This window comes from Homo sapiens, chromosome 9, assembly GCF_000001405.40.
Source record: "Homo sapiens chromosome 9, GRCh38.p14 Primary Assembly".
NCBI classification, from domain to species: Eukaryota; Metazoa; Chordata; class Mammalia; order Primates; family Hominidae; genus Homo; species Homo sapiens.
Genome location: NC_000009.12, coordinates 81,728,668 through 81,753,962, shown reverse-complemented (window position 1 = coordinate 81,753,962; position 25,295 = coordinate 81,728,668). Strand labels below are relative to the sequence as shown.

The 25,295-nt window shown below is 42.4% G+C and overlaps 1 long non-coding RNA gene across 1 annotated transcript in view, besides 1 other annotated feature; it reads right to left on the bottom strand.

Moving 5' to 3' along the window:
* Positions 1 to 25,295, bottom strand: part of TLE1-DT (TLE1 divergent transcript) — an 87,188-nt gene that overhangs the window by 22,938 nt on the left and 38,955 nt on the right. The window contains exons 2-3 of the long non-coding RNA NR_109772.1: positions 5,884 to 5,995; positions 4,151 to 4,277 (exon numbers count right to left, since the gene is read on the bottom strand). This is a non-coding gene — a long non-coding RNA (TLE1 divergent transcript). The remainder of the gene's footprint in view (positions 1 to 4,150; positions 4,278 to 5,883; positions 5,996 to 25,295) is intronic.
* Positions 19,631 to 19,792: a silencer, noted in NCBI's record as "fragment chr9:84349086-84349247 (GRCh37/hg19 assembly coordinates)". NCBI's record gives its function as "represses an EF-1alpha promoter that drives an FKBP-Casp9 reporter gene in an ReSE screen in K562 erythroleukemia cells {active_cell/tissue: K562}" and the evidence as "EXISTENCE:reporter gene assay evidence [ECO:0000049][PMID:32094911]".

The window sequence follows — 25,295 nt, the reverse complement described above, 5'->3', positions numbered from 1 at the left end:
GCTGGAGTGCAATGGTGCAATCTTGGCTCACTGCAACCTCTGCCTCCTGGGTTCAAGTGATTCTACTGCCTCAGCCTCCCAAGTAGCTGAGACCACAGGCGTGTGCCATCACACCCGGCTAATTTTTTGTATTTTTAGTAGAGACGGTGTTTCATCATGTTAGCCAGAATGATCTCGATCTCCTGAACTTGTGATCCACTGGCCTCAGCCTCCCAAAGTTCTGGGATTACAGGCATGAGCCACTGTGCCTGGCTGATGTTAACTTCTTAAGAAGCTATTTTTACCTTCAGATTCCAATATTGTCCCAGTTCACTGACCTGGGCTCTTCCAACTCCCAGCCCTGACACGTGACCACGTTGAGCTCTCTCTATCACCCTGGCACCCCCTCAGCATGCCAATTCTCCTACTATTTGAAATGGGCCTTGCTACACAGAAGAAGAATCCCTGTATAGAAGATTCATCAAATTCTTCTTTGCAAGCAATAGAATCAAACTGACTAGTTTTAATAGAAAAGTAATTTATTGAAGGATACTGGGACTTAGAAGATCAGGAAAGGCTAGACAACCAGGCTCAGTAAATGGGCAAGAAGAAGAAAAACTAGAATCAGCCACAGCCAGAGCCAAAATCATACCTAAGTCCTTACTGGTGAGGACACTGCTGCCACCAGCACTGAGTGCTGGACCTCATGGCCACCACCTCAGCTCTGTACATCAGATGCAGCACCCCTCAGCTCCTGCCACTACAGGCATCCCCCAAAGGGATTCTCAACTGTACTTCTTGGTTTAAACAGCCTCTGCCGCAGTCTGGAGGGAGCCAATTGGATTGGTCTATCCCAGGTCGCAGGGCAGTGCCCCCACTTCAAGAGATCCTGGGAAAGTATCTGGCATCTTCAGCTTCCACAACAGGTGTCCAAAACAAGTATCTGTGAAGCCTCACAGGCTGTGTCTGCTATGACGAGGACATTAATCTCAATGTAGTAAACTTTAGCTCACTGGAATTTTAAAAGTTTGGAACACTTTTCTAGAAAGCTTTAAAAGAGGTTAAACCTTTGCATTAAGAAATTTCATTGCTGGGTGCAACGGATCATGTCTGTAATCCCAGCACTTTGGGAGACCAAGGCTGGTGGATCACCTGAGGTCAGGAGTCGGAGACCAGCCTGGCCAACATGGTGAAACCCCGTCTCTACTAAAAATACAAAAATTGGCTGGGCATGGTGGCGGGCACCGGTAATCCCAGCTACTCAGGAGGCTGAAGCAGTAGAATCGCTTGAACCCGGGAGGCAGAGGCTGCAGTGAGCCAAGATTGTGCCATTGCACTCCAGCCTGGGCGACAAGAGTGAAACTTTGTCTCAAGAAAAAAAAAAAAAAGAAAAAGAAAAAAGAAATATCACTTTTAAGAGTCTAGGATTAGGCTATAATGTGAAGCAGACTAAAATTTCTTTAAAAATATGTTTATTTTTATTAACAATTACAATTGGAAAAAACTAAATATTCAACAGAAGATGTTTGTTTACAAAATTAGCGTAGTCACTTAATGGTACAATATGCAGCCATTAAAAATACAATTACTGGCAAGTTGTGGTGGCTCACGCCTGTAATCCCTGTGCTTTGGGAGGCTGAGGTGAGAGGATAGCTTGAGGCCAGGAGTTTGAGACCAGCCTGGGCAACAATGCAAGTGATCCCATTCTATAAAAACATTTTTTTTTAATGAGCTGGGTGCAGTGGTATGCACCTGTAGTTCCAACTAGTTGGAAGGCTGAAGCAGGAGAATCACTTAAATCCAGGAGTTCAAGGCTGTTGTGAACTATGATCATGCCACAGCACTCCAGCCTAGCTTGGGCAACAAAGTGAGACCCTGTCTCTTAAAAAAAAAATTATAATCATATTAATTTTAAAGATACAAAGCAAGATATAAAACTGCCTACAGTAAAGGTAGAATTACATACAGAATGGTCTCACCTTGTAAAAGTATTGACAGATAAGGAGCTAGACAGAGATAAATGTATCAGGAAGGTAGTCATGCTCACAATTGGTAAAAGCCATAAAAATATTTATTTTCTTATTTCTACATTCTCTACCTTTCTGATTTTTCTTATAAAGGGGATGTACTGAATATATTCCTTATGTATTTTTAAGAGTGATTTTTAAAATATCTGTTTCATTTCCTATGGTCACTCCTGACATAACAATTTATCAATTAAGTTAGCTTATTTTAGATTTTAAAAGACTAAGAGCCATACAGTTAAATGCAATGACACACACAGTTCTTTTTTCTTTCTTTCTTTTTTTTTGAGATGGAGTCTCACTCTGTTGCCCAGGCTGGAGTGTAGTGGCATGATCTTGGCTCACTGTAACCTCCACTTTCCAAGTTCAAGCAATTCTCCGCCTCAGCCTCCGGAATAGTTGGGACTACAGGCGTGCACCACCATGCCCGGCTAATTTTTGTATTTTTAGTAGAGATGGAGTGTCACCATATTGGCCAGGCTGATCTCGAACTCCTGACCTCGTGATCTGCCCTCCTCGGCCTCCCAAAGTGCTGGGATTACAGGCGCAAGCCATCGCGACTGGCCAACACACACAGTTCTAAAAGTCACGTTATAAACAACTGGAGTTAGCTGAGTGTGGGCTCGGTGTTAGATGATATTAAGGAATTATTTTTGGAGATATGTTTGTTTGAATATTCACAATGTCTATAATTTAATTTTTAAAAATCAGAGAAAATATATGTAAAGGAAATATTAAAAAATTAAGGAGGCTGGGGGCGGTGGCTCACACCTGTAATCCCAGCACTGTGGGAGGCGGAGGTGGACGGATCACGAGGTCAGGAGATCAAGACCATCCTGGCTAACATGGTGAAACCCCATCTCTACTAAAAATACAAAAAATAATTAGCCGGGCATGGTGGCGGCTCCCTGTAGTCCCAGCTACTCGGGAGGCTGAGGCAGGAGAATGGAGTGAACTCGGGAGGCGGAGCTTGCAGTGAGCCGAGATTGCACCACTGCACTCCAGCCTGGGTGACAGAGTGAGACTCCGTCTCAAAAAAAAAAAAAAAAAAAAAAAAAAATTAAGGAAAGCCATATGAAATGTTCAAAATGATCAAAAATAATTGGATAGGAAAAGGAAAAGGATAAAAAAAGGATGGGCCTGGTGCGGTGCCTCATGCCTATAATCCCAGCACTTTAGGAGGCCAAGGCGGGAGGATCACCTGAGGTTAGGAGTTCAAGACCTGCCTGGCCAACATGGTGAACCCCCATCTCTACCAAAAATACAAAAATTAGCTGGGCGTGGTGGCAAGTGCCTGTAATCCCAGCTACTCTAGCTACTCGAGAGGTTGAAGCAAGAGAATCGTTGGAATCCCAGGAGGCAGAGGTTGCGGTGAGCCAAGATGGGGCCACTGCGCTCCAGCTTGGGTGACAGAGCGAGACTCCATCTCAAAAAACAAAACAAAACGAAAACAAGCAAACAAAAAAACCGGATGCAAGCATTAACCAGAAGAAAGAAGGTATAGCTATATTAATATTAAATTAGTGGTTACAGCAGAAAGTATCGCTAGAGATAAATAGGAAAACTTTATTATGAGAAAAAGGTTAAGTTTACCAGAAGATATAAGAATTCTAAATTTGAATTCATCCTAATAACCTAGCCTCAAAATATTTATAGCAAAAACTGAAGAAAGAAATGAAGTCATACTTTCAGTGAGAGATTTTAACACCCCTCTCTCAATAAATGATAGAATAAGCAAACACTCAAAACAAGCAAAAAATAAGAAAATCATTAACAATACAGAAGGCTTGAACAAGGTTAATAAACTTGACACAATTGACAAGAGGAACACTCCCACCAACAACCACAGAAAACATTTCCTTTTCAAGTGTATTTGGAACATTTATGAAATTGATGTATGCTGGACAACAAAGCAAGTCTGAACTATCACATTACTGAAATCATACAGAATCTGTTCCCTGGGCTTCACAGAATTATGCTAAAACATCACTTGTAAAAGAAATACAGGGCTGGGCACGGTGGCTCCCAGTGCATTGGGAGGCAGAGGGAGGGTCGCATGAGGCCAGGAATTCAAGACCAGCCTGGGCAACAAAGCAAGATCCCGTCTCCACAAAAAATAACAATTAGTTGGGTGTGGTGGTACGTACCTGTAGTCTCAGCTACTTGAGGGGGAATATGGTTTCAGGCGAGAGGGTCACCTGAGCCCAGGAAGTCGAGGCTGCAGTGAGCTATGATCGCACCACTGCACTCCAGCCTGAGCAGTAGAGAGACACCCTGTCGAAAGAAAGAGAGAGAGAAAGAAAAGAAAAGAAAAGAAAGGAAGGAAAGGAAAGGAAAGGAAAGGAAAGGAAGGAAGGAAGGAAGGAAGGAAAGAAAGAAAGAAAGAAAGAAAGAAAGAAAGAAAGAAAGAAAGAAAGAAAGAAAGAAACCGTTAGGAAAAAGGTAACTAGAAAATTCATAAATTGACCCGGCGCAGTGGCTAATGCCTGTAATCCCAGCACTTTGGGAGGCCGAGGTGGGCGGATCACCTGAGGTCAGGAGTTTGAGACCATCCTGACCAACATGATGAAACCCCGTCTCTACTAAAAATACAAAAATTAGCCGGGCGTGGTGGCATGAGCCTCTAATTCCAGCTATTCGGGAGGCTGGGACAGGAGAACTGCTTGAAGCCGGGAGGCGGAGGTTGCAGTGAGTGGAGATCGCACCATTGCACTCCAGCCTGCGCAACAAGAGCAAAACTCCGTCTTGAAAAAAAAAAAAAGAAAGAAAGAAAATTCACAAATTAAGTGACCTAGTTTTAAATATCTTGTGGTACAAAGACTAAATCACAAAAGAAATTAGAAAATATCTAGAACCGAATGATGAATAACTCATCCCCCTCTAAGATATTTTTATGCCACATTACCAATTTACTAAACCAAAGACACTCCATTTTTGTATAAAATAACAATACTTTTCTTATTCCAAAAAGAGCTACACATGACCAGGCAAAAAATATCAAGGTCAACTTTTTTTTTTTTTTTTTTTTGAGACGGAGTTTCGCTCTTGTTGCCCAGGCTGGAGTGCAATGGCGCGATCTCGGCTCACGCCTGTAATCCCAGCACTTTGGGAGGGCGAGGCAGATGGATCACCTGAGGTCAGGAGTTCGCCAGCCTGACCATCATGGTGAAACCCCATCTCGACTAAAAATACAAAAAATTAGCCAGGCATGGTGGTGCATGCCTGTAATCCCAGCTATTCGTGAAGCTGATGCAGGAGAATTGCTTGAACTCTGGAGACGGAGGCTGCAGTGAGCCACGACTGCACCACTGCACTCCAGCCTGGGCAACAGAGCAAGACTCCATCTCAAAAAAAAAAAAAAAAAAAAGTCAAATTAAGAAAACTAAGAAAGGCAGAGAAATTTCTCCATATTAGAGGAAACAAAGGAGACATAGGAACTCAGTACAAGGCATGATCCTAGACTGGATCCTAACCTGGGGAAAAAATTAGTTTATAATCAATTATTGGGACATCATTGGAACAATTGAGAAAATCTGAATTTACATTTGAACTATGGCTTACATAGATAACACAAAGCAAGACAGCAAGTGGGGCAAGATATAAATAATGAATGAATGTAAAGGGCATATGGGAGTTCCTTGCACAATTCTTGAAACTTTTCATGAGATGAAAGGAAATAATTGTTCCTGAACCATCATAACGGACTGGGTAGAAACAAACCCTGTCTTGTTCCCTTTTTGGCCTTTTAATTTGAAGTCAATATTTTAATAATCTTTTTGATGCTCCAGTTGGTTGCTCCCAGCCTGCAAATGGACCACTACCAATATGTAATTAAAGGAGAATAACAAATAGAATATAGATTACACAGGTGCTGACTTACAAATGCAAATGTTGTAGCAGAAGATTAAGCTCCCCGGAGGCTAGAGGTGCGAATCTTTGCTTATTGCCATCATAATTCATTAATGGTCAAAGTAACGCTGAGATCAATATTCCTGCAGTCATGGGAATGAAAAAAAATGATCACCACCAAAACAAGATACAGAGACAGTCTCAAAATGTTTCTCCCTACATAATTAAGAAACCAGTCATTGTCATGAATTTTAAAACTTAACAGATTTTCTTAGCTATTGTGTGTTCAAGAGGTGGCTTACATTAAAGGATGTTGAAAAGAATTATTGTTCCCTTACATAGAAGGGTATGCAAGAGAGAGAGAAACAGAAAGAGAGAGAAACAGAAAGAAAGAGAGAAGCAGAGTTGCATATGTTTATCTTGTTATCTTTTTAGCTCCTCAAGAACAAATATTTTCCTTGAAGTCTTTTTTTCTTTTCTTTTTTTTTTTTTTGAGACGGAGTCTTGCTCTGTCAACGGGCTGGAATGCAGTGACACGATCTTGGCTCACTGCAACCTCTGCCTCCCGGGTTCAAGCAATTTTCCTGCCTCAGCCTCCCAAGTAGCAGTGACTACAGGCGCCCACGACCATGCCCAGTTAATTTTTTTTTTTTTTTTTTTGAGATGGAGTCTCGCTCTGCCACCCAGGCTGGAGTGCAGTGGTGCCATCTCAGCTCACTGCAAGCTCCGCCTCCCGGGTTCACATCATTCTCCTGCCTCGGCCTCCTGAGTAGCTGGGACTACAGGCACCCGCCACCACGCCCAGCTAATTTTTTGTATTTTTAGTAGAGACGGGGTTTCACCATGTTGGCCAGGATGGTCTCAATCTCTTGACCTCATGATCCACCTGTCTCGGCCTCCCAAAGTGCTGGGATTACAGGCATGAGCCACCACGCCTGGCCTACATTTTTCCTATTGGCCATTTGTGTGTCTTCTTTTGAAAAGCGCCTATTAAGGTCTTTTGCCCATTTTTAAACTGGATTATTTATTTTTTGCTATTGAGTTGAATTCCTTATATATTTTGCATATTAATTCCTTGTCAGATGCACAGTTTGTAAATATTTTCTCCCATTCTATAGGTTGTCTTTTCACTCTGTTGATTGTTTCCTTTGCTGTGCAGAAGCTTTTTGGTTTGATGTAATTCCACTTGTCCATTTTTGCTTGTGCTTTTTTTTTTTTTTGTTTTTGAGAGGGAGTCTCACTCTGTCACCCAGGCTGGAGTGCAATGGTGCAATCTCAGCTCACTGCAACTTCAGCCTCCCGGATCCAAGCGATTCTTGTGCCTCAGCCTCCCAAGTAGCTGGGATTACAGTCACTTACCACCACGCCTGGCTAATTTTTTTGTATTTTTAGTAGAGATGGGGTTTCGTCACGTTGGCCAGGCTGGTCTTGAACTCCTGACCTCAGGTGATCCACCCATCTTGGCCTCCCAGAGTGCTGGGATTACAGGCATGAGCCACTGCGTCCGGCTGTGCTTTTGAGTTCTCATCCAAAAAAATCTTTCCCCAGATCGATGTCATGAAGTATTTCCCTTATGTTTTTTTTTCCAGTAGTTTTATAGTTTCAGATCTTACATTTAAGTCTTTAATCCATTTTGAGTTGATTTTTGTATATGGTGAGAGTTTGGTGTCTAGTTTCATTCTTCTGCATATGGACATTCAGTTTTCCCCACATCATTTATTGAAGACACTGTCCTTTTTCCAATGTATGTTCTTGCTACCATCACAGAAAATCAGCTGGCTGTGTGTGGATTTATTTCTGTGTTTCCTATTTAGTGGCATTGATTTATGTGTCTATTTTTATGCCAATACCATGCTATTTTGGTTATCATAGCTTTGTATAGTATATTTTGAAGTCAGATAGTGTGATGTCTCCAGTTTGTTCTTTTTGTTCAAGAATGCTGTGATTATTTGGGAACTTTTGTGATTCCATACAAATTGTAGAATTGATTTTTTTCTATTTTTGTGAAGAATGTCATTTAAAGTTCGACAGGGATTGCACTGAATCTGTAGATCACTTTGAGTAGTATGTACATTTTAACAATATTAATTCTTTCAGTCCATGAACACAGAATATCTTTCCATTTATTTGTATCCTCTTCAATTTCTTTCATCAATGCTTTATAGTTTCCATTGTAGAGATATTGTACCTCCTTGGTTAAATGTATTCCTAGATTTTATATATTTATATATATTAGTTATTATAAATGGGATTATTTTCTTGATTTCTTTTTTGGATAGTTCATTATTGGCATAAAAAAACACTACTGATTTTTGTATGTTGATTTTGCATCCTGCAACTTTACTAAATTGGTTTATCAGTTCTAACAGTTTTTTTGGTGGAGTCATTAGGGTTTTCTATACATAATATCATGTCACCTGCAAACAGGGACAATTTGACTTCCTCCTTTCCAATTTGGAAGTCTTTTATTTCTTTCTCTTGCCTAATTACTTTGGCTAGCAGTTCTAGGACTATGTTGAATAAAAGTGATGAAAGTGGACATCCTTGTCTTGATCCAGATCTTAGAGGAAAACTTTTCAACTTTTCTCCATACAGTATGATGTTAGCTGTGGGTTTGTGTGAGACTTTCTGTTAAACATTTCTTTTTTTTTTTTTTTTTGGATGGAGTCTTGCTCTGTTGCCCAGGCTGGAGTGCAGTGGTGCTATCTTGGCTCACTGCAACCTCTGCCTCCTGGGTTCAAGTGATGCTCCTGCCTAAGCCTCCCGAGTAGCTGGGACTACTGGTGCCCACCACCACACCTGGCTAATTTTTGTATTTTCAGTAGAGATGGGGTTTCACCATGTTGGTCAGGCTAGTCTTGAACTCCCGACCTCAGGTGATCTGCCCTCCTTGACCCCCCAAAGTGCTGGGATTACAGGCATGAGCCACTGTGCCAGGCCTCTCTTAAACATTTCTGCTTTTAGTTTTCTAGTTGTAAAGAGGCTCTCTCACCCAAAACTTTTAAAATAAATACTGCTCTTTTATGATATGCTCATATTTTACATAAGTTGGAATAACAAGGCTAAGAGTGGTGTGACTCACGCCTGTAATCCCAACATTTTGGGAGGCTGAGGCGGGAGGATAGCTTGAGTGCAGGAGTTCGAGACCAGCCTGGGCAACATAGAGGGACACTGTCTCTACAAAAAAAAAATTAGCTAGGTGTGGTGGTGTGTGCTTGTAGTCCCAGCTACTTGGAAGGCTGAGGTGGGAGGATCACTTGAGCCTGGGAAGTCAAGGCTGCAGTGAGCCCTGATCGTACCACTCGCACTTAGCCTGGGCAACAGAGCAAGACCCTGTCTCAAAAACAAGCAAACAAAGAATAATGAATATTTGAAATAGTATAACTGGCCTAGTAAGAAAGTCCCAGCTTTGGCAGGCACAGTGACTTACTCCTGTAATCCTAATATTTTGGGAGGCTGAGGTGGGAGGATCACTTGAGCCCAGGTTTTTAAGACCAGCCTGGGCAACATGGTGAGACCCCACCTCTGAAAAAAATTTTTTAAAAATTAAAAAAATAGGCCAGGTGCCGTGGCACATGCCTGTAATCCCAACACTTTGGGAGGCCGAGGCAGGCAGATCATGAGGTTAAGAGATCGAGACCATCCTGGCCAACATGGTGAAACCCCATCTTTACTAAAAATACAAAAACTAGCCAGGCGTAGTGGTGTGTGCCTGTAGTCCCAGCTACTTGGGAGGCTGAGGCAGGAGAATTGCTTGAACCTGGGAGGTGGAGGTTGCAGTGAGCTGAGATCACGCCACTGCACTCCAGCCTGGCGACAGAGCGAGACTCTGTCTAAAAAATAAAAATAAAAAAATAAAAAATAAAAAAAATAGGCCGGGCGCAGCGGCTCACGCCTGTAATCCCAGCACTTTGGGAGGTCGAGGTGGGCAGATCACCTGAGGTCAGGATTTCAAGACCAACCTGGCTAACATGGTGAAACGCCATTTTTACTAAAAATACAAAAATTAGCCAGATGTGGTGACACACACCTGTAGTCCCAGTTACTTGGGAGGCTGTGGCAGAAGAATTGCTTGAACCCAGGAGACAGAGTTTGCAATGAGCTGAGATCACGCCACTGCACTCCAGCCTGGGTGACAGAGCAAGACTCCGTCTCAAAAAATAAATAAATAATAAATAAATAAATAAATAAAAATAAATGTTTTAAAAATAAGAAAGTCCCAGTTTTGTGCAAAATTTGAAATCATTTAACTCCTGTCAAGAGTAATTTTTTAGGCCGGGTGCGGTGGTTCACGCCTGTAATCCCAACACTTTGGGAGGCTGAGGCCAGTGGATCACCTGAGGTCAGGAGTTCAAGACCAGCCTGGACAACATGGTGAAACCTTGTTTCTACTAAAAATACAAAAATTACCCAGGCATGGTGGTGGGCACCTGTAATTCCAGCTACTTTGGAGGCTGAGGCAGGAGAATTGCTTGAATCTGGGAGGTGGAGGTTGCAGTGAGCCAAGATTGTGCCACTGCACTCCAGCCTGGGCGACAGGAGCGAGACTCTGTCTCAAAAAATAAATAAATAAGCTGGACTTGGTGGCTCACGCCTGTAATCCCAGCACTTTGGGAGGCCGAGGCGTGTGGATCACGATGTCAGGAGCTCGAGACTAGCCTGACCAACATGGTGAAACCCCATTTCTACTAAAAATATAAAAATTAGCCAGGCGTGGTGGCATGCGCCTGTAATTGCAGCTACTCAGGAGGCCGAGGCAGGAGAATCGCTTGAACCCAGGAGGCGGAGGTTGCAGTGAGCCAAGATGGCATCACTGCATTCCAGCCTGGGCTACCCAGGGAGACTCCGTCTCAAAAAAAAAAAAATTAAATAAATAAGTAAATAAATAAAAATAAAAAGTTATTTTTTAAAAGCTGCACAATTTCAAAGCTAAGAGGCAGTAAGAATGGCAACTGTCTTAATCTTTGTGGCTATGTGGCATGCCACTTTAGCTGGTAATCAGAAGTACAATGGAACTTGTAATTATGTCCTCTTTGATAACATGAATTTGGATATGACGAGTTTGGTGATTGGCTCCTGTCCTTTTGCAGCAGGATCATCTTAGTCATTTTATTAACTTTGTACTAAATTGGCATCACATGTTATGGAATTGAATATTGTAGACCCTACTTACTGAGTTACAATGAGGTTTTACTTGCACCTGCCATCATTTAACAGTGGGTTGTAGACCATGCTATTATTGAAAAGTTATGTAAATTTAAATCTAGAAGTGGTTCAATGGACTTTTATGTTGTTAACTTATTATTGTTATTATTATTATTTGAGATGTAGTCTCACTCACTCTATCACCCAGGCAGGAGTGCAATGGCACGATCTTGGCTCACTGCAACCTCCAGCTCCCAGGTTCAAGCGATTCTCATGTCTCAGCCTCCTGAGTAGCAAAGATTACAGATGCCTGCCATCACACTCGGTTAATTTTTGTATTTTTAGTAGAGATGGGGTTTCACCATGTTGGTCAGGCTGGTCTTGAACTCCTGGCCACAAGTAATCCACCTGCCTTGGCCTCGCAAAGTGCTGCAATTACAGGCGTGAGCCACTGCACCTGGCTGATGTTGTTATTTTAATTTCAATTGTAATTTTAAATTAATTAATTAATTTTTTAAGACAGTGTCTCACCCTGCATGATCATAGCTCATCTCAATTATTTAAAAATGTATTTAAGGGGCCAGGCGCAGTGGTTCACGCCTGTAATCCCAGCACTTTCGGAGGCCGAGGTGGGTGGATCACCTGAGGTCAGAAGTTCAAGACCAGGCTGCTCAACATGGTGAAACCCCGTCTCTACTAAATATACAAAAATTAGCCAGATGTGGTGGCGGATGCCTGTAATCCCAGCTACTCGGGAGGCTGAGGCAGGAGAATCACTTGAACCCAGGAGGCAGAGGTTGCAGTGAGCTGAGATCGTGCCATTGTGCTTCAGCCTGGGCAACAAGAGCAAAACTTTGTCTCAAAAAAAAAAAAGTTCTTTAAATAAAAAAAATAATAATATTTTGTAGAGGTGAGGTCTTACTTTGTTGCCCAGGCTGGTCTCAAGCTCCTGGGCTCTAGTGATCTTCCCACCTCAAGTTCTCAAAGTACCGGGATTACAGGTGTGAGCTACCACCCCCGGCCTATTATTTTAATTTTTAGAGTTACAATGTATAAATAGTTTTTATTCTATAACAAGGTCATCTAAGGAGCAAGTTCCAGTGAGCATTTAATTCAGTGAGAACAATAACCCAATCTTGAAAATATATTCTTTTGGAACAGAAGTCAGAGACAATAAAACACTAGATAAAGGCCACATGGCCGTGTACCAAGCTATTAAATTTTGGAGACAGTACTCTGTGAAATATCAAAGATAATTCCGGGAAAATTTAAGAGAGTATTAAAGCAAATACAACTTTAAGTTTGCAAATACAATCTTATAACTGGGCATGGATAATGAAATGGAAAAAATGCTATGGCTGCAAGATCATTCGTAACACAATGTGTCCTTATGCTACAGAGATTGTCTGCACCTGTGCTCTGAGATTATACCCCCATGACCATACAGATCTGCCTATAAAAAAACTACTCATGAATTATGCATGCTTTGAATATATGAAGTGTTTGGAAAAAATCACTCTTCTTTCCAATTTCTTGGTTATCTAATGGCCTCCAGGTATAAAAGATAAGAATTTAGCTCATTTATGTTTTCTTCTTCCTCCCAATTCCTTCAGTGTTAGGTAGTTATGTCATTATTTTTAAGTTTTGTTGTGGTTACCCTTTAACTTAAAATAGTATGCTACACATCAATTTTTCATTCCAAAAACTTGAGTCAGTATCCTGACTTCAGATTATAGAAGTTGCAGGTATCTATGATACTATCCTTCTCTTCATATTTCCTTCTTTCCACTTCCCACCTTTTGTCAGCTATACTTTTATATTATGAAGAATAATGCTTGCCTTTTTTTGCAAAATAATCAAGATCTTCCTTTCTTTGTCCTTAAGTTGACTGTAAAGGATGAACTTTAACTTAGAAGATGAATACATTCTAGAGATCTAATATACAGGATGGTGACTGTAGTTAAAACAACAACAACAAAAAGTAATTACATTAGTAAGACTACATCAATATTGTGCACTGCTGAACTAGGTAGCATATTAGGAATGCAATTTTCCTTTCTATGAGGGCAGTGTCATATCTTCATATGTTTATCATACCCTTCATATATTCAATGAAAAATGTCTTAGCACCATGTACTAGTCTTTTTCTTACACTCCCTAAATTACTGAAAATTATATGTTATTCTTCTAAATTGGGCCATAACATACTCAACTGGCTTTTTGTTTTTCTGGAATTATTAATTGCCTATCTTTTTATTGACTAAATATATAGTTTATCATATACTAAAACTTTTGTTGTTGTTGTTCTCCTAGTAACACTATGGACTACATGCAATTCTTTTGTCCCAGAGTCCTTCTCTTTGGCACTCTTTGTCCTCCTACTTCAAAATGGATGATTTTTTTTTTTTTTTTATCACACACTACTTTCCTTTCTCGTGTTAGAAAGATCCCTTGCCTTAATCTTTCTTGGGTAACTTCTTCATCCTGCTGGAATACATGCTCAAATAACTTAAAAAAGGAGTCTTTCCAAGTAAATTTTACAAGTCCTGGTTTGTATGAAACACCAACATTCTACCCTCACAGTTGATTGATAGGTAGGCTGGATATGTAAATTAGTTTCAAATTTAATTTCTCCCAGAACTGAAAGGACTACTCTATTATTTTCCAGCAGCCAGAGATGTTAATGAGAATTTGGCTGTTCAATTTACATTCCTCTATAGGTGGCCTAATTTTTCCTTCTCAAAGCTTTCAAAAATTTTGTTTATTCTTAGAGTTCTAAAATTTTACAAAATTATGTCCAAGTGGGTTATCTTCCCCATTTATCACAGTTGGCACTTAGAGGGTTATTTTAATGTAAAAATGTGTCCTTTTCTCGGAAATTTTCTTATATAATTTCTCGAGTAATGTCCCTTATACCGTTTTGTCTGTTCTCCACTTCTGGATCTCATATTACTTAGCTGTTGGACCCCTTAAATGAGTTTTTACATCTTCTATTTTCTGTCATATTTCTCATCAGTGATGGAGAATGCCATCTTCACCTCACTACTGTCATCTTTGTCTACATCAATTGATTAAAATAATAATAACAATGGCCAGGCACGGTGGCTCACGCCTGTAATCCCAGCACTTTGGGAGGCCGAGGCGGGCAGATCACGAGGTCAGGAGATCAAGACCATCCTGGCTAACATGGTGAAACCCCGTCTCTACTAAAAATACAAAAAATTAGCTGGGCGTAGTGGCGGGTGCCTGTAGTCCCAGCTACTCGGGAGGCTGAGGCAGGAGAATGGCATGAACCCAGGAGGCGGAGACTGCAGTGAGCGGAGATCACGCCACTGCACTCCAGCCTGGGCGACAGAGCGAGACTCCGTCTCAAAAAAAATAAATAAATAAAAAATAAAATAATAATAATAATAATAATAATAATAATAATAACAACTACTACTAATACCTATGTCAACCTGGAGTAGAATCCTTGTTTTTACCATTTTGAGGGTTTTACCCAGAATCATGCCTACCCAACTGCTGTTCAAGTAGCATCCTCTCAGAAGATTGATGCTGAAAAAGCCAGGAAATGGAATATTTTAAATAAAAAAATGAAAATTAAAAACCTTATTGAAGTCCAGTTGTAGATATTGCTTTCCCCTCTTCTGCCAGGCTCATCACTCTATCATAGATAAAATTAAATTGGTGTGGCATAATTTGCACTTCACAAAATCACGTTGATTACGACCCAGTAGCTTGTACTCTTCTAGGTGGTTGCAAATTGATTGTTTGATGATTTGCTCTTGTATCTTCCCAGGTATCCAAGATAAACTGAATAGTCTATAATTACTACAGCTGTCCTTTTCCCTCTTTTAAAAAACAGGTACTCCATCTGCTGATTTTACTTGTCAGGACCTTCTTCTGTCCAACCTTCATTTTCTAAAATAAAGGCTGGTGGTCTTGCAATTATATTTGCCAATTCCTTAAGTGTCCTGGGATGCGAGTAATCAAGCCCTGCTGATTTGAATGTACCAAGCTTTCTGAAGTGCTCTTCAATCACTTCTTTCTCCTTGTTTGCCTTTGCACCTCCAAGATGATAGCACTTAATCCAGTTTAGTTTCCTTATCATTGCTGATTAAAAAGGAAAATGAAACAGGTTAAAAACACAGTGAAAGCCTCTGCTATTACAGTTCTTTGTTAATAGTTTTTATTTAGCAGTATCTGTTGATAGTATTTTTTTTTAGTAGTTTTAGTGGTTGCATTTTACATCCTATAGAGCAAATTCCTGCCGGTATTCTTCCTTCCATTTTTTCTCCCTTCCTGCCTCATTCATTCCTTCCTTTCTTCTTCCCTCCCTCCTATTTTCCCTCCTTCCTTCTCTCTATCTCTTTCTTTCTTTTAAATTTCTTACAGAGGATAAGATAAGGGGAAGGGAGGAAAAAAAGAGGCCAAGAATCCCACATCACATTATGACCAAGACATCTACTAATCACCAAATGCCCACATGCTCCCCACAATTTCTCAGCCTGTTTGTAGCTGGAGTGAGGGGGCACATGACTAGTTCTGGTTAATAGGTACTGAAGACCTATGAGTCCCCAGGATCTCTTTCCTCTGCACCAGTTAGCTAGAAGTCACATGTTCTGGATGGTGAACCAACAAAAGGCAAGCAGCGTGGACCCCTGAGTCACCATTAGAAGGCCGCAGTCCTGGAGTGTCATCAGATCCCCAGGGGACTATGTGTTAAGCCACAGATATTTGGGCGTTTGTTTTTTCTAGCTTATCATCACTAATACAGTACCAATTTCTGGGTTAATCAGATTAGGCTAGGTTTTTGCCAAGGGAACAAATTAACCCTGAAATCTAAGTGGCTTAACATGACAAAGGTTTGTTTCTTACTCATGGTATGTGGTAGCTAGTCTCCAAAAAGGGCTCCCAATGACTCTTCCCTCCTGGCAATCGCACCCTTGGAAAGTTACCTCCCACTCTGACTCTGCACGATCTCATGACTCATTTTAAACAAGGAAGTGTACAGAAATAAGTGTGGCAGAAGTGACACTGTGGCTCTCCCCAGTGCCTTAGAAATCCGGGCACTTCCTGATACTGCATTTGGAGCCATTCACAATATAAAATATCTGAAGAATGAACCTCTATGCAGAGGAGCACCAAAGTGCCAGACATAAGCAAAGAAGCATCTTTAGTTCAATCACAGTCAAGCTTCCTAAGCACCCCAGACCCAGGCACCATCTGAACACAACCACAGGACAGACTCTAAGCGAGACTGTAAGAACTCCCCAGGTGAGCCCAGCCAACTCATAAAATTGGAGAAGTAACAACAAATTGTTGTTTTAAACCATTTTGTATGGGATAGCTTGTTAGGCAGTAGTAGCAAACTGAAGCATCGTACATACCCAGTGTGGGTGAATGGGCATTGGGCTCCACACAGACATTCATGGAAACAGGTTGATATGGGTTACACCATCTTGTATCTGCACCATTGGGAATGCGACCTCTCTGATGGCAGTAGTAAGGGAAGAGAGGGCTGAGGGGTTCCACAACTTTTAAATGTTTCCATCTCTGCTCCCAGTCCATTGGCCGATGAGAATTATCAGGGAGTAAATGGAGATTCAATGCACATTACATGACTCTGCCACAGACCTTGCCAATAAAATTTGCCCTTGTTTCCTATAGTATTATAAGAAGGCTTATCCAAGTACCTACCACCCAACTGGCTTTCCAAGAATTATAAACAATGATGTAGGACTCGCTCATACATCTCACAGAACCAACTGGGTGTATCTCCTCCCAACTTCGCATTCTGTGATGCCATGTGGTAGCCAGAAGTCAAACATGGTAGAAATATTTGCACCATATAGCTTGGCAAATGCTACAAATCAGGGCTTTCTTCCCATGTATCTAGTTACACCAGATCCAAAATATACCTACTATTCAGGCTGCCTCTATATTCATGCATATTTGTTTATTATTATAGGTAGAATTTTTTAAGCTAGCCATTGATGGTCTCATTTCTTTCCCTATTGCAAACAGACCAATCTATGAAGTGAAGATGTTAACATAAACCTGATTAACCTTTTATTAATAATAAAAAGATGGCTGTTTGAAGTTTCTTCTATATAACCAGAATGTGCATATTTTAATACACAGACACTATGTTAATATTCACATTAGTACAGTATTGGAAATGTTGCTATAAAAGAAGTATTAAATGTACCTATTTTCAGTCAGCATCAACAAGGTTTTCACCCCTCCAGTAATTATTGCATCTAATGACACTGTCATAGCTACTGATTCATTCTGGAAGCTTCAGTATCTTTTAGGCTTTAGAGTTTATAAGACTAAACTCCTTTATTTTAAGCCTTGCTGAAAGAGTTAATTCAGTGTTCTGTTCTAGTTCACCAACTCTTTATTCCCAAACCTTCACCCTCCACATACAAACAATCAGGAGAAAGGCCATCAATAAGGTTTCAGCTTCTATTACGGGATATGAAGCAATAACATTTTAAATAGCACCTAGGAGGCCTGGAGGAATGAATACATCTTTCAGCAGTCTCTACTTTATAGCTCTGAAGTATTTTGAACCCTGAAAATCTGGATTATTTACGAGGAGATTGAGAAGGGTCCAGTTGGAGGGAAACCTCATTTCTTGTTTCTCATACAAACAAGAAAGGGTATGCTTTGATAAGGTTTGAATCTGTGTCCCTTCCCAAATTTCATGTCAAACTGTAACCCCCAATGTTGGAGGTGGGACCTGGTAGGAGGTGACTGGATTTTGGGAGCAGTTTCTCACGAATGCTTTAGCACTATCCCCTCGGGGCTGTTCTTGTGATAGTGAGCTATCATGAGATCTAGTTATTTAAAAGCGTGTAGCACCTGGCCGGGCGCGGTGGCTCATGCCTGTAATCCCAGCACTTTGGGAGGCCGAGGCGGGTGTATCACAAGATCAGGAGATCGAGACAATCCTGGCTAACGCGGTGAAACCCGGTCTCTAGTAAAAATACAAAAAATTAGCCAGGCGAGGTGGCGGGTGCCCGTAGTCCCAGCTACTCAGGAGGCTGAGGCAGGAGAATGGCGAGAACCGGAGAGGCAGAGTTTGCAGCAAGCTGAGGTCGCGCCACTGCACTCCAGCCCGGGCGACAGAGCGAGACTCTGTCTCAAAAAAAAAAAAAAAAAAAAGTGTGTAGCACCTCCCCCACCCCCAGCCCTTGCTTCTGCTCCAGCCACGTAAGGTGTGTCTGCTTTCCCTCCGCACCTTCTGCCATGATTGTAAGTTTTCTGAGGGCTCCCCAGAAGCAGAAACAACCTTGCCTCCTATACAGCCTGTGAAATCATGAGCCAATGAAACCTATTTTCTTTATAAATTACCCAGTCTCTAGTCTTTTTCTTTCTTTCCTTTCTTCCTTCCTCTCTCTCTCTCTTTCTCTCTTTCTTTCTTTCTTACTTATTTGAGACAGAGTCTCGCTCTTTTGCCCAGGCTGGAGTGCAGTGGCGCAATCTGGGCTCACTGCAACCTCCGCCTCCCAGGTGCAAACGATTCTCCTGCCTCAGCCACCCGAGTAGCTGGGACTACAGGTGCCTGCCACCACGTTTGGCTAATTTTTTGTATTTTTTAGCAGAGACTGGGTTTCACCGTGTTAGAAAGGAGGGTCTCCATCTCCTGACCTCGTGATCCACCCACCTCGGCCTCCCAAAGTGCTGGGATTACAGGCGTGAGCCACCGCGCCCAGCCTCCAGTATTTCATTATAGCAATTCAAGAACGAACTAATACATGCTTACAAGTAACATTTGAAAACAAGATGACTAGAAACCTTTCATTACAAATAACAAGGGATTTGAACTTGATTCATGCCAAATTATGTAGTAAAATAAAACACAGGACAATTACAGAACGAAAGACCAGTCATCTTTAAAATGCTGCTTCTTGGATAGAATTCAGTGAGACTACCTACGGATGAGTTTGATGTTCATCAATTCAGAGCAGGAGGGTAAAGAAAGAATTATCACTACACCCACCAACCCATTTCCCATCACAACACTGATAATTTTCTAGGAATTCTAATGCCTTTTTTATTTTTTGGGATTAATCCACATTTTTTTTTCTTTTTCCTTTTTCTCTTTTGAGACAGGGTCTCACTCTGTCACCCAGGCGGGGGTGCAGTGGTGAGATCATAGCTCACTGCAGCCTCGATCTTCTGGGCTCAAGTGATCCTTTCACCTTAGCCTGGAACTTCAGGCTGCACCGTAGCTGGAACTTCAGGCATATGCCACCGTACTCAGCTAATTAATCCACATGTTAATCAACATTCGTTTGTTTACAAGTATCACTGATTGTATTTTCCAAAGATGGACACCTAATATACCTTCTGGCCACACGCTCATTTTAAAATGTAATGCTGGCCGGGCGCAGTGGCTTACGCCTGTAATCCCTGCATTTTGGGAGGCCCAGGCAGGCGGATCACAAGGTCAGGAGATCGAGACCATCCTGGCTAACACGTTGAAACCTCATCTCTACTAAAAATACAAAAAATTAGCAGGGCATGGTGGCAGGAACCTGTAATCCCAGCTGCTTGGGAGGCCTGAGACAGGAGAATCACTTGAACCCGGGAGGCAGAGGTTGCAGTGAACTGAGAATGCACCACTGCACTCCAGCCTGGACAACAAGAGCAAAACTCCGTCTCAAAAAAAAAAAATGTGATGCTGACATTCCTTCACTGAGAGATGGGGTCCCCCAACCAAGGTGGATCTTTGTAACTGCTTCCACAAATAGAATGAGATCAAATGATATTCCATGGCTTCGGAGGCTGGGTACTAAAAGGCGATGTGGCTTCCACCTGTCCCTCTCTCCTTGGGACCTGTGCATTTGGAGCCCTTAGCCTCCATGGGAAAGTTCATCTATCCTGAAGCTACCATGATAAGAGACCACAGAGAAACAGAGCGGTTCCTATGCAGCCCCAACTCTTCCAGCCCCAACTGCTTGGGTCTTTGCAACCCAGGAATCAGGCATGTGTGAGTGTTATACAGTGTCAGCCCCCAGCCTTCAAGCTGTCAGCTGAAACCAAGTTGGAGTGGAAACGAGCTGTCCATGCTAAGCTTTGCTCAAATTACAGATCTGTAAGAAACGTAAGTGTTGCTCTTGTTTTAAGCCACTGAATTTTGCAGCCATTGTTTCTGAAACAGCAAGTAACAGATGCCCTTCAAGCTAGCATCAGCAACATGTTGAAGAAAGTTATAGTATGAAGGTCTACAATCATCTGAGGAGCCCAAAAATAAGAGGAACAGCTGGGTCTCATGATGGGTTGACCAGAACCTAAACCAGAAGACCAGCAGAAGTCAAGTCAGCTACTTTGCTCCAGTGCCCTCCTCTCTGTGCCTCCATGGTCTTCTCTGGTCTCTTACTTTGTGGCCCTCCTCTCTGCCTCTCGGCACGTCAACTTCCTTCCTTCTCTCTGCAGTCTGGTGTTGTGTGTTTCTTCTTGACTGTGATGCAATGCCAAAGCTCTTCAGTTGAGATGCCCTTAGTTTAAGAGACCAGCCTATACTAACTTGCATCCTTTCTCTCCAGTGAAAAATTCTTGGGATAGATGATCTAATTGGCCAGCCTGAGTCAGATGTCTCTTTCCGGTCCAATCAGATGACACTGGGGCAAGGCCACATTGCACCAACATGACTGCCACTCCCGCTGCCCAGCTCCCTGTGAAAATTCTTAGAAAGGGGCTCAGAGGCTCCCAAACATAGCAATACATCCGATGCCTGAATATTAGAAGGCATTTTGGATAGTCTTATCCATGTGTAAAAATCTACCACAGCCAGGCATGGTGGCTCACACCTGTAATCCCAGAACTTTGGGAGGCCGAGGCGGGCGGATCACCTGAGGTCTGGAGTTTGAGACCAGCTTGACCAAAATGGAGAAACTTCAACTCTACTAAAAACACAAAATTAGCCGGGCATGGTGGTGCAGGCCTGTAATCCCAGCTACTCGGGAGGCTGAGACAGAAGAATCGCTTGAACCCGGGAGGCAGAGGTTGTGAGTTGAGATTGTGTCATTGCACTCCAGCCTGGGCAACAAGAGTGAAACTCCGTCTCAAAAACAACAACAACAACAACAAAACCCTACCACAGACTCCCCTGTAAATTGCTTTTTGCTTTATTTACAAATATGCTTAGATAAGTGTATGCCAGCCCCTTCCTCATTCCCAGCCCATTCTCACAGGTATTTGAAAGGGCACTTCTGGATCTCCACAAGAAGGTGGTGGATTCGAATGATGTAACCTCAAGAAACGGAACTCAATGATTGATTTCTCTTATATTTATTGTTTTAGGTTTATCTTATAATGTGAAGTTGGCACCTTACTTTCTTTTTTCTTTTTTTTTTTGAGACAGAGTCTTACTCTGTCGCCCAGGCTGGAGTGCAGTGGCGCAATCTCGGCTCACTGCAACCTCTGCATCCCGGGTTCAAGCAATTCTCCTGCCTCAGCCTCCCGAGTAGCTGGGATTACAGACGCACGCCACCATGCCCAGCTAATTTTTGTATTTTTAGTAGAGTTGGTGTTTCACCATGTTGGCCAGTCTGGTCTCAAACTCCTGATATCAGGTGATCTGCCCCCCTCAGCCTCCCGAAGTGCTGGGATTACAGGCGTGAGCCACCACACCCAGCCAAAACTGAGGCTTCTTGATGAACTTCGACAATTTTCCCACATTAAAAATTTTCTGGCCACGTACGGTGGCTCATGCCTGTAATCTGAGCATTTTGGGAGGCCAAGGCAGAAGGCTGGCTCGAGGCCAAGAGTTCAAGATCAGCCTGGGAAACATAGCAAGTCTCTGAAAATAAGAAAAAGATTTTAAAATTTCCCATTGCTAAGTAATCTATGGTGTCAGAAGTCAGGATAGAGGCTGCACCTAGGGGAGGGAGAGACTGGACCGGGTCTCTGGAGTACTGGGAATGTTTTGTTTCTTGTTCTGGGAGGTGGATGCATGAGTGTATTCCAGTTTGTGAAAACTCATGAAGCTATACACATATGATATGTACATTTTTCTGTAGGTATATTATCCTTCAATAAATGTTTAAATATACTTCACTAATTATAAAAGATTGCTCAAACTAGCGTCACTATCACATGTTGCTGATTAGTTTGTAGAAATATAGATAAAATATATGGTGTACATATATATACATATGATTTAACAGTACAAATAACATCTTCTATAAATACATACATGTTTGTTAAGGTGCAAACTCCGTAATTTCTTCAGGATGCTGTATACATATACTACCTCTCATAGAAAACTCAGGTCCCTAAAATGCTCCATTTGAGAGACAGTGGAATAGTGAATGGCTCCAGAGTCAGACTGTTGGGGCTCCAATTCTACTGCATGCTAGGTTTTTGTTGTTGTTGTTGGTTTTTTTTTTTTTTTTTTGAGACGGAGTTTTGCTCTTGTTGCTGAGGCTGGAGTGCAATAGCACAATCTCGGCTCACTGCAACCTCTGCCTCCCGGGTTCAAATGATTCTCCTGCCTCAGCCTCCCCAGTACCTGGGATTACAGGCATGTGTGACCACACCCAGCTAATTTTGTATTTTTAGTAGAGACAGGGTTTCTCCATGTTGGTCAGGCTGGTATCGAACTCCCAATCTCAGGTCATCTGCCCACCTTGGCCTCCCAAAGTGCTGGGATTACAGGCGTGAGCCACCACGCCCACCCTTTGTTTTGTTTTTGAGATAGGGTCTCAAACTTTTTTTTTTTTTTTTTTTTTTGAGACAGAGTCTCGCTGTGTAGCCCAGGCTGGAGTGCAATGGCGCAATTTCAGCTCACTGCAACCTCTGCCTCCTGGTGTGTCTGGAGTTGGTTCTTGCTGGTGGGTTTGTGCTCTCACCGAATTCAAGAACGGAGCCACGGACCTTCACGGTGAGTATTACAGCTCTTAAAGGTGAGTATTACAGCTCTTAAAGGTGAGTGTTACAGCTCTTAAAGATGGCATGGACCCAAAGAGTGAGCGGTAGCAAGGTTTATTGTGAAGAGCAAAAGGACAAAGCTTCCACAGCGTGGAAGGGGACCAGAGTGGGTTGCTGCTGCTGGCTGGGGTGGCCAGCTTATCTTCCCTTATTTGTCCCCTTCCATGTTCAGTTTCTGTCCTATCAAAATGCCCTTTTTTCAATCCTCCCTGCGACTGGCTACTTTTAGGATCCTGCTGATTGGTGTGTTTTACAGAGTGGTGATTGGTGCATTTTACAATCCTCTTGCTAGCTACAGAGTGCTGATTGATGCATTTTTACAGAGTGCTGATTGGTGCATTTTACAATCCCCTTGCTAGCTACAGAGCGCTGATTGGTGTGTTTTACAGTCCTAGCTACAGAGTGCTGATTGGTGCATTTTACAATCCTCTTGCTAGACAGAAAAGTTCTCCAAGTCTCCACTTGACCCAGGAAGTCCAGCTGGCTTCGCCTCTCACTGGGTTCAAGCAATTCTTCTGCCTCAGCCTCCTGAGTAGCTGGGATTACAGGCACCTGCCACTATGCCCAGCTAATTTTTGTATTTTTAGTAGAAACGGGGTTTCACCATGTTGGTCAGGCTGGTCTTGAACTCCTGACCTCAAGCAATCCACCTGCCTCAGCCTCCCAAAGTGTTGGGATTACAGGTGTGAGCCACCGTGCCAGGGGAGACAGGGTCTCATTCTGTTGCTCAGGCTAGAGTCCAGAGTGGCGTGATCACTGCAGCCTTGACCTCCCAGGCTCAGGTGATTCTCCCACCTTCTCCCAACTTAGCCTCCCTAGTAGCTAGAACTACAGGTATGCACCACTGCACCTGGCTAATTTTTTAATTTTTATTTTTGTAGAGACAAGATTTCACTATATTGCCCAAGCTGGTCTTGAACCCCTAGGTTCAAGCAATCCTCCTGCCTTGGCCTCCCAAAGTGCTGGAATTACAGATATGAGCCACCAAGCCTAGCCTGCATGCTAGTTTTATGACCTTGGGACAGTGATTTAACTTCAGCTTTCTCATCTAAAATGGAAACATTAAAAATACCTACTTCATGGGAATGTTGTATGAATTTAAAAAAAAATGCATGTAAAGTGCTTGAAAACAGGCCTGTCCTATAGCAAACACTTCATAGATATTAATTATTATTGTTGTTGTTATTAGACTACCTGAAAATCAAAGAAGAGAGCATCACACCTTTTTCTACCTTTTACTATCCCATCCACTCTAACTCAACAGAACTCACTTCAATTCAGTTTATATTGATTGGGCATCTCTAGGGGCCAGGCAACATGCTCAAATCTGGGCAGAGTAGATGCTTAAAGCATATTTCTGGCTGTACAGAGTCCCCTACTGCAGAGACCTAACCCCCTGGGAAGATTCTATGCTGGTAGCATTTCCCAAAGGTTCTGTGGCTCATTTCTACCCAAGTTCACTTCTGGTGCTATTAGAAATTCTACAGAGTTCACTCTTGTGCCAGTGTGTGAACACAGGCAAATCTCTCTGGTGGGGTTCTCATCAGAGGAGCCTGGCAAGGTAAAAAAGAGGAAGCAGGTTGAAGGCTGTGTTTATTTTTTGTTGTGGATATTGTGTTGTGTTTCACTGGGGTGCCAGTCTACTTGACGTAAACAGAAACAACCTGTGTAGTCTTGTGTGACACTGGTATTGTTTTAAGTCAACATTAGGAGGTGGGACAAGAGAAAATGGCTGTTAATTAGAACTTAAGCCCCAAGCTCTCTCTATATACAATGGGGCACCTGTGGAGCTGTCCAAGCTGAACAGCTGTTTGGAGGTCATTTGTAACCAAGATAAACTGCTACGGACAGTATTGAAAACGATAGTCACCTCCTTCGTGACAGAATTCACTGTCACCGTTGTCTTTAATAACTCCTATTTTTACTGTTCACATCTAGCACTGCACCAATGGATGAGCTGAGAACCTCTTCAAAAGGAACTTGTGAAAAATGTAAAGGAAATATTACTGCTAAATAGGCAAGGCTAATGTTCTTGCAATTGTGGAAAACAAAACTGAAAACAAAACACACCACCAAAGTCCTAAAGCAGTGTTTTTGCATTCATTTTCTCCCTCCATCCTTCCTTCCTGAATAAGCAGCTAACGGAGAACAGCCTGATAGGCATTCCTCTTCCCTTCCAGATAGAGAACTGGGTGCTCTGCAGCTGGGCTTCTGTCCTGTCCATACCCGGCAGGACACAGCTGGTAAAAGAGGAAGAAGAGACTGGGTGCAGGTGGCTCACGCCTGTAATCCCGGCACTTTGGGAGGCCGAGACTGGCAGATCACCTGAGGTCGGGAGTTCCAAGACCAGCC